The sequence below is a fragment of the Homo sapiens genome, chromosome 11 (genome assembly GCF_000001405.40).
Source record: "Homo sapiens chromosome 11, GRCh38.p14 Primary Assembly".
Taxonomy (NCBI): Eukaryota; Metazoa; Chordata; class Mammalia; order Primates; family Hominidae; genus Homo; species Homo sapiens.
This window is the reverse complement of record NC_000011.10, coordinates 63536802-63551918: the sequence shown is the minus strand read 5'-3', so window position 1 is coordinate 63551918 and position 15117 is coordinate 63536802. Positions and strand designations below refer to the sequence as shown.

The 15117-nt window shown below is 48.8% G+C and overlaps 1 protein-coding gene across 1 annotated transcript, besides 1 other annotated feature; it reads right to left on the bottom strand.

Moving 5' to 3' along the window:
• Window positions 1-5460: 5460 nt before the first annotated feature.
• PLAAT4 (phospholipase A and acyltransferase 4) lies at window positions 5461-15111 on the bottom strand. Its single transcript, NM_004585.5, has 4 exons — window positions 15042-15111; window positions 12295-12403; window positions 7030-7298; window positions 5461-5770 (listed from the first exon to the last, which is right to left on the bottom strand). Exons 1-4 carry the CDS (start codon window positions 15048-15050, stop codon window positions 5663-5665), a joined length of 495 nt encoding a protein of 164 aa, NP_004576.2. The 5' UTR covers window positions 15051-15111; the 3' UTR covers window positions 5461-5662.
• Window positions 5571-6770: an enhancer, noted in NCBI's record as "MED14-independent group 3 enhancer chr11:63312621-63313820 (GRCh37/hg19 assembly coordinates)". NCBI's record gives its function as "activates an origin of replication core promoter dependent on BRD2, BRD4, P300/CBP and CDK7 cofactors, and independent of MED14, by STARR-seq in HCT116 cells {active_cell/tissue: HCT116}" and the evidence as "EXISTENCE:reporter gene assay evidence [ECO:0000049][PMID:35650434]".

Sequence of the window (15117 nt, the reverse complement as noted above, 5' to 3'; positions counted from 1 at the left end):
CGAGTGAGACTGCCCATGCAAGTCTCATCAGAGAACATTCCAGTGGCCTGGCCCAGAAAACTGACTTTTAGGTCAAATTGACTGGAAGGGAATCCAGAGCTTTTGCTTAGTGGCTGTGTGACCTTGGGTCAGTGGCTTAGACTCTGAATCTAGTTTCCGTCCACACAGTATTAAAACTGCCCACCTCCCGGGAACTATGGAGATCATGTAGCCTGAGAATGCGGCTAGTGATTTTGACTTCGGAGTGTGTAAACAGAACAGCTGTTGTGGTCAATTTGAGCACGCTTTCCAAAACAGAGATGGCAGGAGAAGCTGTGTTTAACATCCCTTTGTGTCCGGAATTGCTGGGTTCTTGGTCTCACTGACTTCAAGAATGAAGCCGCGGACCCTCGCGGTGAGCATTACAGCTCTTAAGGTGGCGCGTCTGGAGTTTGTTCCTTTTGATGTTAGGATGTGTTCGGAGTTTCTTCCTTCTGGTGGGTTCGTGGTCTCGCTGGCTCAGGAGTGAAACTGCAGACCTTCGCGGTGAGTGTTACAGCTCTTAAGGCAGCACGTCTGAAGTTGTTCCTTCCTCCTGGTGGGCTGGTGGTCTTGCTGGCTTCAAGAGAGAAACTGCAGATCTTCGCGGTGAGTGTTACAGCTCATAAAAGCAGTGTGGACCCAAAAAGCGCGCAGTAGCAAGAGTTATTGCAAAGAGTAAAAGAACAAAGCTTCCACAATGTGGAAGGGGACCCGAGCAGGTTGCCACTCCTGGCTCGGGCAGCCTCCTTTTATTCTCTTGTCTGGCCCCCGCCCCTCCCGCCCCTCCCGCCCCCATCCTGCTGATTGGTAGAGCAGAGTGGTCTGTTTTGACAGGGTGCTGATTGGTGCGTTTACAATCCCTGAGCTACATATAAAGGTTCTCCACATCCCCATCAGATTAGTTAGATACAGAGTATGGACACAAAGGTTCTCCAAGGCCCCACCAGAGCAGCTAGATACAGAGTGTCGATTGGTGCATTCACAAACCTTGAGCTAAACACAGGGCGCTGATTGGTGTGTTTACAAACCTTGCGCTAGATACAGAGTGCCGATTGGTGTATTTACAATCCCTGAGCTAGAAATAAAGGTTCTTCAAGGCCCCAACAGAGCAGCTAGATACAGAGTGATGATTCGTGCACTCACAAACCCTAAGCTAGACACAGGGTGCTGATTGGTGTGTTTACAATCCCTGAGCTAGACATAAAGGTTCTCCACGTCCCCACCAGACTCAGGAGCCCAGCTGGCTTCACCCAGTGGATCCTGCACCGGGGCTGCAGGTGGAACTGCCTGCCAGTCCCGCGCGTGCGCCCACACTCCTCAGCCCTTGGGTGATTGATGGGACTGGGTGCTGTGGAGCAGGGGGCAGCGCTCGTCGGGGAGGCTCGGGGTGCACTGGGGCCCACGGAGGTGGGGGAAGGCTCAGGCATGGCAGGCTGCAGTCCCGAGGCCTGCCCCCTGGGAAGGCAGCTAAGGCCCAGCGAGAAATCGAGTGCAGCGCCAGTGGGCTGGCACTGCTGGGGGACCCAGTACACCCTCTGCAGCCGCTGGCCCGGGTGCTAAGTCCCTCATTGCTCGGGGCCGACAGGGCCGGCTGGCTGCTCCGAGTGCGGGGCCCGCCAAGCCCACGCCCACCCGGAACTCCAGCTGGCCAGCAAGTGCCGCACGCAGCCCCGGTTCCCGCTCGTGCCTCTCCCTCCACACTTCCCTGCAAGCTGAGGGAGTGGGCTCCGGCCTTGGCCAGCCCAGAAAGGGGCTCCCACAGTGCAGCGGTGGGCTGAAGGGCTCCTCAAGTGCCACCAAAGTGGGAGCCCAGGCAGAGGAGGCGCCGAGAGCGAGCGAGGGCTGTGAGGACTGCCAGCACGCTGTCACCTCTCACCTTTCTTTGATGGGCTAGAGACAGATCCCAGGGCCCTATCCCTGGCCCATCATGACGGCTTCCTTCTTCTCCTGTGTCTTGAGTGCCAAGGGTCAGGGCTCTGCAGGAAGGGCCAGGTCCAACCATGGGACCTCCTGATGGTTTGAGTAGATCTTTGCAGGAACTAAGACCCTCCCTACTAATGTCTTAAATTATTTTCTCTTACCCCAAAAGGAGACTTTAAGCCACCCAGGAAAGAGGACAATAGGGCAGGCAGCACTGAGAGCTCCCCTGCTCCTGTTCCTTCTGTGTCCTGGTTGTCTCAGATCCCAAACACCTTCAGAGCACTTTCTGGTGGATGCACATAAGCAAAACATTTCATTGTCCATGAGGCAGGAGGGCAGCACTAGGGCTTCTCTGTGTCCTGCCAGCTGTCCCGTCACTCCTGGGTGGGGAGAGGGATGCTGTCTTCGAGAGTGACACAAACGACAAAGGACAATCGAGTACTACCACACACAGCCCAGGATTCCTGTTTCTCCAGCACCAATCAGTTTTCTTAAAAATTTCTTAAGCTGAAAAACAGCTTGTGGAAGGAATATATGCATGCTCTCTTCAGCCACTTTTATTTATTTTTTGAGACAACGTCTCTCTCTGTTGTCCAGGCTGGAGTACTGTGGCACGATCTTGGCTCACTGCAACCTCCGTCACTGGGTACAAGTAATTATTGTATCTCAGCCTCCTGAGTAGCTGGGACTACAGGCGCCCGCCACCATGTCTGGCTAATTTTTGTGTTTTTAGTAGAGATGGGGTTTTGCCACGTTGGCCAGGGTGGTCTCGAACTCCTGATCTTAGGTGATGCCCCTGCCTCGGCCTCCCAAAGTGCTGATATTATAGGTGTGAGCCACTGTGCCCAGCCTTCAGCTACTTTTAATCTTAGCAAAAAGATTTGCTGAGACCAAGGACTGTCCAGAGGTGGTACAACCATTTAATGAACTTATGAAAAAATGAAGTATGCTTTTGTTACATATATATATAATTATATATAAAATATGTATTATATATGTGTGTGTGTATGTGTGTGTGTGTATATATACATATATATATATTCCATATTTAGTGAAATCTAGTTCATGGAAGTCAGTCCAGAGAGGTCTGGAACTGGTTCAGTGTATTTCTCAACTTCATAGCAACACAATTCTGGTGGGCATTAACCTTTACTGTGGTGGCCACAACATTTTTTTGAGAAGAGTGGTCATGTTTTTTATTTTTATTTTTTTGAGAACAGTGGTCATGTTTTATATTTTTATTTTTTACTTGTACTCTTTTTGATCATAGCTCACTGCAGAAATCCTGGGCTCAAATGATCCTCCCGCCTCAGCCTCCTGAGTAGCAGGGACTATAGGCACACGCTGTAAGAATTAAAGAGGAAAGAAACACAAAAAGGGGCTCAACAGCCAAAGACAGGTTTATTTAGAGAATAAACCTGAGAAGGGCTTCTGGTTGATTTTGGTCAGGAGTGTTCTAACAGACTAAGGATATTTAAGAGTTTAGGAAGTGGGAAGATCATTGTAGGTTCGGAATGTTTCTATGTGAGGGAAAGTTTATTGTAGGGTTAGAATGTCTCTCGTCAGAGGGGAGGCTATCTTGGGGTTGGCATGTTTCTGGTTGGAAAGGGTTTTATCTTAGGGTTGGAATGTTTCTGGTTATGCTGGGAGTTGGTTTCCCAGCATAGGGAAATGCCCTGATGTTCTGGGACTGACGTTCTGGGGCTGGATTTAGGCAGTTTTTAATCAAGAGGAACACAGAATGTTGGTATTTGTCCAAGATGGCGATGCTCCTGCTCTGTCATGCACCACCACACCTGGCTAATCTTTTTTTATTTTTAATTTTTATTTTTTTGTAGAGACAGGGTCTTACTATGTTGCCTAGGCTGGTCTTGAACTCCTGGGCTCAAGAGATCCTCCTTTGGTCTCCCAAAGTACTGGGATTACAGGTGTGTGCCCCTGTGCCTGGCCCTGTTTTTCTACATATCAGTTAATAGATTTATTAATTAAGTAAACCACTATCTTTTTTTCCTTTTTGAGAGATGGGGTCTCACTATGTTGCCCAAGCTGATCTCAAACTCTTGGGCTCAAGTAATCCTCCTGCCACAGCCTCCCAAGTAGCTGGGATTACAGGTGCATGCTTGTAATCCATCATCTATCGAGTGGTTATAGTAAGTTAAGCATTGTGCTTGATGCTAGAGTCCCAATGGTACCAAACTTGGACTGTCCCCAAAATACTGGCAGGGAAAGGCACATTAGTAAAATAACCACATGGATCAGTGTTCATTGCAACTGTGAGAATCACATGAAGTGCAGACACATGGACACCTGAGACTCCTAATGGGGATCTGACCTAGTCATGGAGGTCAAACACACCTTGGAAGGGCCTGGATGCTCCCATTGTCCAGCACCCTGGAACAATTGATCCTGGACAGGTAATGAAGTCTGGGGAGGTGAGCCTTAGATCACAAGAAGTGAGAAAGCCTTCTTCTCTTGCTGGGCCTTCTGCCTTTTAGGCCTGGACTCTGGGTAGAACAGCTGGGCCCTCTGCTGTGGAGGTAGCCCTGGAGCAAGGCAGGCATGGATGCTTCTGCAATCCCCAAATGGAGCCTGGTATTTCAGCCAGGAATCTGAGCAGAGCCCCCTCTAATTGTAGCAATGATAAGTTATTCTCTTTGTTCTTCAACCTTCCAATAGCCTTGAGCTTCCAGGGGAGTGTCGTTAATCATTACAGCCTGGTCTCCACTGTGTTGGGGAATTAAGGGACCAACCAGCTTGCTCATGCATGAAAAAGTACAACCCAGGGGAGGGTGATGTCCTCAGTCCTGAAGCCAGAGTGGTGGTGGCCACAGTGACCACCATGGAAGTGGCCACTGAGTAGGGTCACTGGTGGCAGAGGCTGGAGTGAGGAAGCACAGAAACATGGGGACCTGGGCACTTCTGGAGCCATACCCAGGGCATGCTGGAAGTAGTGGAGGGAGATTTAGAGGTAGCTAATTCTCAGCATTCCACCCAGGACCAGCTTGAGCCATGGCAATCTGGGCATGGAAAGAATATTACTCCATCTAGTAGTCACAGGTGGGTGAGAACTCAGACCTTTGAGCTAAAAAAAAAAAACTTTCTAAAAAGAGGGCCAACTGAGGAAGGTAACTGGGAAGATGCTGGTAGATGTGTAGGTGTTGTGAGGGGATTTAAGCACCACATGAGACGATACCGGAAGGTAATTAGGTTTTTTTCGCCTCCCTGAGAGTAAAATTAATGACATGCAATTATGTCGCTGTTATGTCTGTGTAGAATGATGAAGACAATTCCTTGAACATCTGTTACATATCAGACATAGTGCTGGGTGTCGTGTATGCATTATCGTAGGTGATCCTCCTGACATCACCTGACATGGAAGAACTGAGGTTCTGAGAATCAAGAGCCTTCTCTAAAGTCACCCGGCTAGAAATTGCTGGAACTACCCAGTGAGTGTTCACTCAATGTTACCTTCCTCCTTTGTGATTCAGAAGTCTATAAAAACATGGTAGAAGTCCTTTCTGAAGGGGCAGATGGCTGTTTATTGATCCTTCAGTCTTGTTTCAATTAGATCATACTTTTGCCAGCGAGAGAGGGAAACAGAGGAAAGGATCTAGAGAACGCCTGAGACAGGGCACGAGGGTCAGGCTGCTGGAGGCATGGGGGAGGCTCATCTCCACTGGGACCCCCACAGCTGCTTCTAACACAGGATTTTGTGGCTGCTTCAGGCTGTCGCTTTTTTTTGGTATCTCCTAATCGCAAAAGAGCATCCAGCAACAACCAGGATTCCAAGCGCCGTGGCCACACCGACTTCAACCTTGGCCTTTTCCACCTGCAAAGCAAGCAGCTTTTGTTGAGCGTTCACGGCAAGCCAGGCTGGCACTTTCTCCCTCCCAAGGGCCTGGAACTCCTCTCCCTCTCCCCTCTCTCCTGCCTCCCCTAAGGCCTGGCATCTCCTCTCTTCTCTCCCAGCTGGCTGGCTCAGAATCCTCTCCCAGAGAAGCCGTTGGTTGTATCCCCAGGGACTCCATTTTCTGGGCTGTGACCACTTCTTGGTGTTCGACTTGTCTGGGCTTGTCCTGAGAATGGGCCCATGAGGTCCTTTTGAGAGAGCTTCCAAGTGAGGACATTTGTTCTGATTTGGGGCAAGGAAGAAGGTTTGTGCCTCGCTTCCTAGGGTCAGAGCTCCAGGGGCCAGACTGGGGACTATTTTGCAGTCTGGGTCCTCCCTGAGCTACACCTTTGCACAGGGAGGGCTGTGGCAGAAGCTGAGGGGAGACTTAGGGAGGCCATGGCCATATGCGTGCCCTGGGGTCACTGTGTACTATTCCCAACTGCAGCCTGGAAACTTCCATCTCCAGCTGTACTTCAGCCTAAACTCCATGCCTTATCTCCACCTGGGCCTCTAATGGGGCACCTCAGACATCACATGCCACGCCAAACTCTGGATTTCCCTCCGCAAAGCCTCTACTCCTGCCACCATCCCTCTCTCATCAAGGGCCCCCAACCATTCAGTCACGCAGGCCAGGGGCCCTGAGTAGGCATCACAGGCAGAGACTCTAGAAAGGGACAGCTGGGGTTCAAATCCCGGTTCTGCCACTTATTAGTTGAGTGTTTTGGGGCAACAAATGTGAAAGACTGTGAAGGGGCAAGGGATGGAGGCTGTGCCCAGATCTTACACACAAATGTCCTTGAGCTCTTACACAGGTCCACGGACCCTGAGCGTCCCTTGCCTGAGTACTCTTTGGGGGGTTGCAGGACCTGTCATTGTCCTGGGTTGGCCCAGATTCTCCTGATGACCCCCAGAACTTCAGGAGCCATTTTCAGGATAGGTTTTAGAGGGGAAGGATCCTCAGAGCTCCTCCATCCACCCCCTCCTCTGCACATGGAGAGGCCTGGGGGGAAGGGAACTGTCCAAAGACCCTCTGTGGATTAGAAGCAGATCTGGCATTGGAGCTCAGAGGTCCTGACTCTCAGCCAGCAGGTCTCTAAGAGGCTGCATTTGCATCATTCACAGTGATCGCCTGGCTGCACAGCCCCGTGAGTCCAGCCCCAAGCAGAGGGAGATGGATTATCCAGAGAGGTCCTTACCTGTTTACAGCGGGACTTGCCATATCTCAGCTGGGTGACAAAGTGCTCACAGTTCCTGCTCACAATACTGTACTTCATCTTCTGACCAACCATCTCCTTCGCAGAACTGATGATCACCTCCACGGGCCGTGGTTGGTACTCATGGTCCAAGCTGTTGTTGACCCGATAGCAACAGCCTCCCACCACATCTTCCAGGCGCTCCCGTTTCACCTCTGCACTGTTGCTCAGGACTGAGAAGACACTGGAGGAGCCAGCCCCGGGGTACTCACCTGCAATCAGAGGCACTCTCACTGGCAGGGGAAGGTGAAGTAGGGAGAGAAGGGCTTGAAATCTCCACTAAGGAACTACTGGTGTTTATCCTTTCACAAATGTGATTGAAGGATTCACAGATTTTGCTTTTTTTTTTTATTTTGATGGAGTCTCACTCTGTTGCCCAGGCTGGAGTGCAGTGACGCGATCTCAGCTCACTGCAAGCTCCATCTCCTGGGTACACGCCATTCTCCTGCCTCACCCTCCCGAGTAGCTGGGACTACAGGCACCCACCACCACGCCGGGCTAATAGATTTTGCTCTCTTTTTTTAATAAAATAAGGTGTGAATGTTCGTTCAAGTCAGTGAATGTCATGATTGCCAGTGGCTGCTGCCATATTCCATGCTATGCATGTACATCACTTCTGTGGCCAATCCCCTGTTATCCGTCATTTAGGTATTGGAAAAATTTTCATCATTATAAACAATGATGGTAAAGCATATTTATTACCTGTTCAGCTTTGTACACTTGTGTTTCGGAAAAAGATCCAATTCGTTTAGTACCCACTGTTTCAGTTACCATGCTGTGCTGTTACACATACTTCCTAATTTAATCTCCTTTTTAACTTTCAAGGAAAATATTATCATCTCAATTTAAAAACCAATATTGGGCTGAGAGACATCATGAGACTTTTCTGTGCTATGAAAAGTCCTAGAATCAGGATGTGAAACTGCTTCTCTTAAGCCCCAAAGGGCAGGCTCCTTCCACTGCACTGGGCTGACCCTGAGGGAATCCTTTGTAAAGTGTCTTCTGTCCTACAATCTGGCACAGTTCTAGGCACATAGAGAGGAACACAGAAGAGCTGTCAACCAATGGAGCCCCAATTCCATTATATAGTGACTCCAGGTGTTATCTTATTTTTATTAAAATGGATAGTACCTAATGCACACAATAATTAGGTGTGTTACCTCTTTTGCCCCGTTTCTAATCTCAAGGCTGATGTTTGCATTTAGAACCCTCTTAAGAAAATCCTGTTGGCTGGGCGCAGTGGCTCATGCCTGTAATCCCAGCACTTTGGGAGGCCTAAACAGGTGGACCACTTGAGCTCAGGAGTTCGAGACCAGCCTGGACAACATGGCGAGACCTGTCTCTACAAAAAATACAAAAATTAGCTGCGCGTGGTGGCACACGCCTATCATCTCGTCTCAGCTATTCAGAAGGCTGATGTGGGAGGATCACCTGGCCTGAACTCGGGGAGGTCAAGACTGCAGTGAGCCTGATCCCTTGCATGTGCAGTTCCCAATGGGGTTTGCACTCCTATGAGAATCTAATGCTACTACTGATCTGACAAGAGGCGGAGCTCAGGCAGAATGCTCACTCACCTGCCTCTCAGCTCACCTATTGTGTGGCCCGATTCCTAACAGGCCACACACAGCCCAGGGTTGGGGACCCCTGCTTTAACTGATGCATTGATTTGATAAAGTATTTTACAAGCCTGATAATGTTATAACCCTATTTATTCAGGTCAGATTTATGCCAACTTTGCTGAGAATATGGAGGGTATAGATGAGTGAACATCAACAAACATAACTTCTACCGTGGTTAAGAATTTTACTTAAGAAAAGTATTGAAGTTCAAATCCAGGTAGTATTACATTTGAAATTTTTATAAGGGTTATTAATTTAATAAAATTCATTATCAGGTTTCCCCTATAAGCTTTCTCCTAGGTTAGTTTTCCACAAGCATTGTTTTACATACACTGTAATCAGGATAACACAAGCTTAGTGTTAGATCTTGTAGGAAACCAAGATTAGAAGCATTAGAAATGTGCAGAATTTAAGAAATTATGTTTTGTGGTAATCTGTGGCCAACGATGATAGAACCTAGTGCAATTGTAAAGTGAAATTCAAGGAGAAGGAATGAGGAGTTAGGCAAGCAGCACACTTGAATATTAGTGAAGGAGAGGAGCTGTGAGTCAGGAATCAGAGAGACCTGCTAAAACCAGACAGATATAAACACCAAAGACGGAAGCCAAATAGGTAGCCAAAAATCCAGATATTTGAGAAGCAGGAAATTTACAGCAACCAAAGAAATAGGGCAAGATAGGCAGGTGAACACACATGATACCTCAATTGACAATCTTCCTCCTACCAAGCCAGACACGTTGTAAATGCTGCTTCCCATTGGAGCCCAGAAAAAAGGAAAGTTTAGGCTTTCTGTGTCCTATGTGTGGAAGCAGGGAATTGGATTGAAGACTTTCATAGTTGTAAAATAAAGGCAAATCCTGAGGAACTCACTGATAGAGATGTGAAATGACAGTACGGAAGAAAACAGAATAACTATATAAATATATTAGTCTAGGGCCACTTAATTTAGAGGAAGAAAAAAAATCACCCCATCCACAGAAATAGTTTGATAAACAGGTCACTAAATAATTAGCATTTATAAAGATTCTTAGTTATCAAGGGCTGCATTGTATTTTATATACTCAGTTTTATAAGGCGATACTTTTAAATAAGCATTTTAATGAAAATGGTTAAACTGAAAATAATTTTGGTCCTTAAAAGGAGTCAGGAGCTTTTATATATAAGGTACATATTTTAAAAGAATACCTCCTTTATAACAGGGTTTTACAGACACTACTGTAATTTATAATCATTGTTTTTTACTTTTGGGTTCACCTAGATCGTATGAGTTGGTATGATACTTCCAGAACAAAATTATTCATAATGTGTTTTTTGTAATTTATGATTTTTAAGTAAGCTTGACTTATAAATTGACATTGTAATTTTGTACATAATTGGATATATGTGCTAAAATTTAACATTTAGATTTATTTAATTGTAGAAAATACAAATGTAAAACTTATACATGGAAAGAACTGTATGCAGTTGACTTTACCATGGAAATTGGAGGGAAACAGTTTTAGATCAATTTTCTTTCAAAATTTTCTTTATTGTAAAGTATGCAAAATATATATTCATACCATTTATTAAATCAGAATGTTTATGCAAAAAAAAAAAAAAGACTGCAGTGAGCTGTAATCACATCACTGTACACCAGCCTGGATGGCAGAGTAAGACACTGTCTCAGAGGAAAAAAAAAAAAAAAAAGGAAAGAGAGAAAAATTGTCTTTAAAAAGCCTCTTTACGGCTGAGCGCGGTGGCTCATGCCTGTAATCCCAGCACTTTGGGAGGCCGAGGCTGGTGGATCACGAGGTCAGGAGATCGAGACTATCCTGGCCAACATGGTGAAACCCCATGTCTACTAAAATACAAAAAACTAGCTGGCTGTGGTGGCATGCGCCTGTAGCCTCAGCTATTCGGGAGGCTGATGCAGGGGAATCGCTTGAAACTGGGAGGCGGAGGTTGCAGTGAGCTGAGATTGCACCACTGTACTCCATCCCGGTGACAGAGCAAGACTCTGTCTTAAAAAAAAAAAAAAAGCCTCTTTACACACTGCAAGTTAGGCACAAAAAGGACCATGTGTCTTCATTGCCATGCTTTGTCTTACAAGGTCCCTGAGGATCATCTGGATTAAGTGGGCTTGATTTACTATTTTCCATCAATTCAGACATTTTTACAATCCTGCCTGGGAGATGATGGCTTGGAGAAAACTGATAAGATGCAAATGTCTTGCCCTGATAGTGATGGGAATGGTTTTTGTCCAGTGACAATGTAAATGCTTGGTGAAAAGAGAACATGAGAAGTTATGTAGTGGCACTGCCCTAGAGGATATGAACTTGCCTGCACCTACCTAATTTGGCAGTCTCATTGTCTCATTTCTGCATTTTTGTTGTTGTTTTTTGAGACAATGTCTTCCTCTGTCTCCTAGGCTGGAGTGCAGTGGCACTGTCTCAGGATCTCGGCTCACTGCAACCTCCGTCTCCCAGGTTCAAGCAATTCTCCTGCCTCAGCCTCCTGAGTAGCTGGGATTACAGATGCCTGCCACCACCCCCAGCTAATTTTTGTATTTTTAATAGAGACGGGGTTTCACCATGTTGGCCAGGCTCGTCTTGAACTCCTGACCTCAAGTGATCCGTCCGCCTTGGCCTCCCAAAGTGCTGGGATTATAGGAGTGAGCCACTGTGCCTGGCCTCTGTGTTCGTTTTTTCCCCTTTCATTGGCTATCCATACATACGTTTCCTTCATTCTGCTTTTAACTGGGTATGTCATATTTCTGCTTCTGTTATTAATGAGTTAAATAAAACATTGGTATTGCTTACTGTGTATTTGTATGAGAATTTTAAAAAAATGTATAAACCTGTGAGAATTGCTCCCAGTAAGGAATCTTAAGTATATAATATCAAGACACCTTGTTGTGTGAAAACATATGAGGCAAAGGATCTGGCACGGAGAAACATTGTTCCTTTTGAGAAACTTTCTTCTTTAAGACCTAAGAAACCTGGCTGGTTTAAGTCGTATGAGATTCTGCATGCCAAGGTAACTGACTTTGAGCTGGAGAGATCCCAATGCTGAAGCAGCCCAGCTTCGCTGCGGGAGGCAACGGTCTCTTCTTCCGTTCTGCCAGGACCTATGGAATGCACTGTGTCTACTTCATGGGACATATGTGTGTGCAATCTCATCAAGCATCCTCTAAGAAGAATGTGTCTCCTAACTCAAGTTTCCCTTGCTTAACTGTCTTTCAGTGGCTCTCATTGACTTATTTTTTTATTTTTTGAGATCAAGTTTTGCTCTTGTTGCCCAGGCTAGAGTGCAATGGCACGATCTCGGCTCACTGCAACCTCTGCCTCCGGGGATCAAGTGATTCTCCTGCCTCAGCCTCCTGAGTAGCTGGGATTACAGGTGTGTGCCACCACACCTGGCTAATTTTGTATTTTTAGTAGAGATGGGGTTTCTCCATGTTGGTCAGTCTGGTCTTGAACTCCTGACCTCAGGTAATCTGCCCACCTCGGCCTCTCAAAGTGCTGGGATTACAGGCATGAGCCACCGTGCCCGGCCCTCTCATTATCCTTTTAACAAATATTTTGAAAATTATATATTCATCAGTCCTTACTTGGAGGAGCCAGATGGATCACGTAGCCATCTCCTATATACAGGGCCCAGTGCTCATAGCCAAGGCGGAAAATCTCAATCAGGTCTCCAGGTTTGGGCTCTTGGTGTGGCTGCAACAGAAAAGCCAGAGATGGAGTACCCGGCCTTCTAGGCAACAGCAGAGACCCTGGCTGGGGGAGCTGCAGCTCATCCTGGAGACGCCTTGCTGATGTTCATCAGCTGCTAGCCCCATGAGATCCTCAGCCCTGCTGTCACTTTCAGAGGCTCTTCTCAGTGGGGGCACTGGGGGCTGGAAGCCTGGAGAATGATCTTGTGGGATGGGAGACAGAAGGACCGTCTGGGCGCATGTGTGACATGTGTGTGCTGTGTGTGTGCATGCTGAGGATGCAGATGTGTGTGCATGTGTGCATTGTACACATGCTCCTCAGTAGGCCGACTCAAGAGCCTGCATGAACCAGCACCTTCACTGAGGCCAGGAGCAAGGCTGGGAAGGTGAGTCTTGAGCTCTCCGCCCTCTGCAGACTGACCCTCAGTTCCTCATCACTCCTGCCCTGTGCCTCTCCATGGCCCCAAGAGCCACCTCCTCCTCAGACCTTGCCCCATCCAGCCTCAGGACACCTATCTCTTGGAGATGACACCCTGGGAGACAGGAGCTCACAGCATCCTGCTGGGACCTGAGTGGGGTCTTGTGGGGCCCCCCAGCTCCCAGCACTGAGGGGGCTCTGCACTCACAGAACAGGCCTCTGTGGGAACTTGTCCTACAATAACTGCACCATCTCCACAGCCCCAGGGGAAGGCATGATCATCCCATTGCACAGATGGGGAAACTGAGGATCAGAGAGGTGGCAGGGCTTTCCTGAGAACACTCAGCTGGAAGGAGGCCGAGCTGGTTCTTCCCTGCACACCCCTCACCCTGGTTCCTGTCTTGGCCACCTTCTTCCCCTTCCTCACCTCCTTCCCACTTCTCCATGTCCTGCCCCAGGGCATAGCAGCCTCATGACTGGAGGATTTTTCCATTTTCACCCTCTCTGTCCCTGTCCTCAGTGGGTGACAGCCTCCTCCTCCCTCATCCCAGGATGTCCCATCATAGACCTGGGGTCTGCTCTCCTTTGCCCTCTTCCTCATGCCAATATCCAGTCACTAAAACCAATCAATGTGGACTCCGGAAGCTTCTCCTTGTTGGTGTGCTTGTCAATATCCCATCCACTGACTTGGTTCAGGCAGCCCCATGCCTGCCTCTGTGACCCCCACAACCCCCTGACCAGCCCCTGCCTCCTGTCCCTGCCACTCCATATCCAACTCCTCAGAACCCATGGTGGCCTTCCCAAGGGCACATCTGGCCATGACCGTCCTCTGACCTCAGGGCCCAGGACACACCCTGTGGGCAGCTCCCAGGCCCTTCCTGACTGGCCCTTCCTCACCCTCCTCTCCCTCCCTGGGCTCTGCACCCACAGGCCCACTGAGTGACATCCCAGCCCCTCACTACTGCCCTGGCTCTGGTCTCTGCTGCTCTGCACATCTGGTTCTCCCTGCCTCCATCACTTCCCTGCAGCCACTCTTCCTCTTCCCCTCCCTCAAACCCCCTCACCTGAGAAGCTGCCCTGATGGCCCCAGCCTGGCTCAGCTGACCCGCCACCCCACTCCTAGGACCTGGGTCCCCGGGGGCCTCTGCTGCTCTCTGCAGGGGTCAAGTTGAGCTGCAATTCCCTGTGCCTCCCTGTGCCCCTCTGGGCTGTGAGCTCCAGGCAGGCAGGATCCTGTGTGCTCCTCCCTCCCTGCACCTCCAGGACCCAGTGAAGGGCCTGGCGTAGAATGGGGCAAGGAAATAGACAAGGAAGAGGGAGGAGAAAGGAGCAGGGCCAGGACTCCCTCCCAGCTCCTCCTCTGTATGTCAGGGCACCACAGGAGATGGTTTCCATGTGGGGAGAGAGAGGGGCTTTTAACTGCAATGCTGAATGTCTAAAACCACAGTCAAGGTACTGGCAACCTCAGCTGGTGGCCAGTGAGATATGAGCTTTGGCCTGGGCTCCCTGTTAAAAGCCCTGATTTGTTTTGGCAGCAGTAAAGCCCTTCCCCAGGATCAGGTGGTGCTGTTGGAGTGGGCTGCCCTCCAGAATTTGCAGGACTCCTTCCCGGAATGGTTTTGTTTCTAGTAATAGCCTGAGCCCCGCTGTTCCTTTTTAGTCACACACCACCGAGCTCAGCCTGCTCTCCCTAGAGCTTCTGCCAATCGGTACATCTGGGCTGATAGGAGGAGAAATTTCAGTTTTCAGAAAGCTGCTGAGATTAGAATGCACCTTAGAAGGCTGGATGATGCCACAGAGGAACGAGGAGAGAGAAAGCATCGTTTGGGGCCGAGAAGGGACTGAGCCCCAGTCACAGCAGAAGCAGACGATGTTGGGATTTGCTTGCTTCCCACAACCCAGAGTCCCCCACCTGCCCACACTCTGGCTTCTCCTCAGGCTGAGGTAGATTTGACACCCGGCACCCCACAGCTCTCTACTACATGGGAGTCCCGGGCTCCCCGCACTGTGCCAGTTACGCAGAGGAGGTGGACTCTGCCCAGAGGACTCCCTGTCCAGCTGGGCAGATGCACTTTTAAAAGACAAATACAGTTTTCCATGACAGCCTTCTAAAGACGAGCTCTGGAGCTGTGTGCCCAAGGCCAGGAGCCTGGACTGAGGCCTTTCCTAGGGGGAGCTGCCCAACTGCTGTAGAGTCAGTAATGCAAAGCCCTGGGAAACTTACCGAAGCCATCTCGAAGCCAAGAGGAGGTCTGGTGCTCCTCTTGTTTGTGGATCAGCTTTTATGCTGAAGGAGAGAA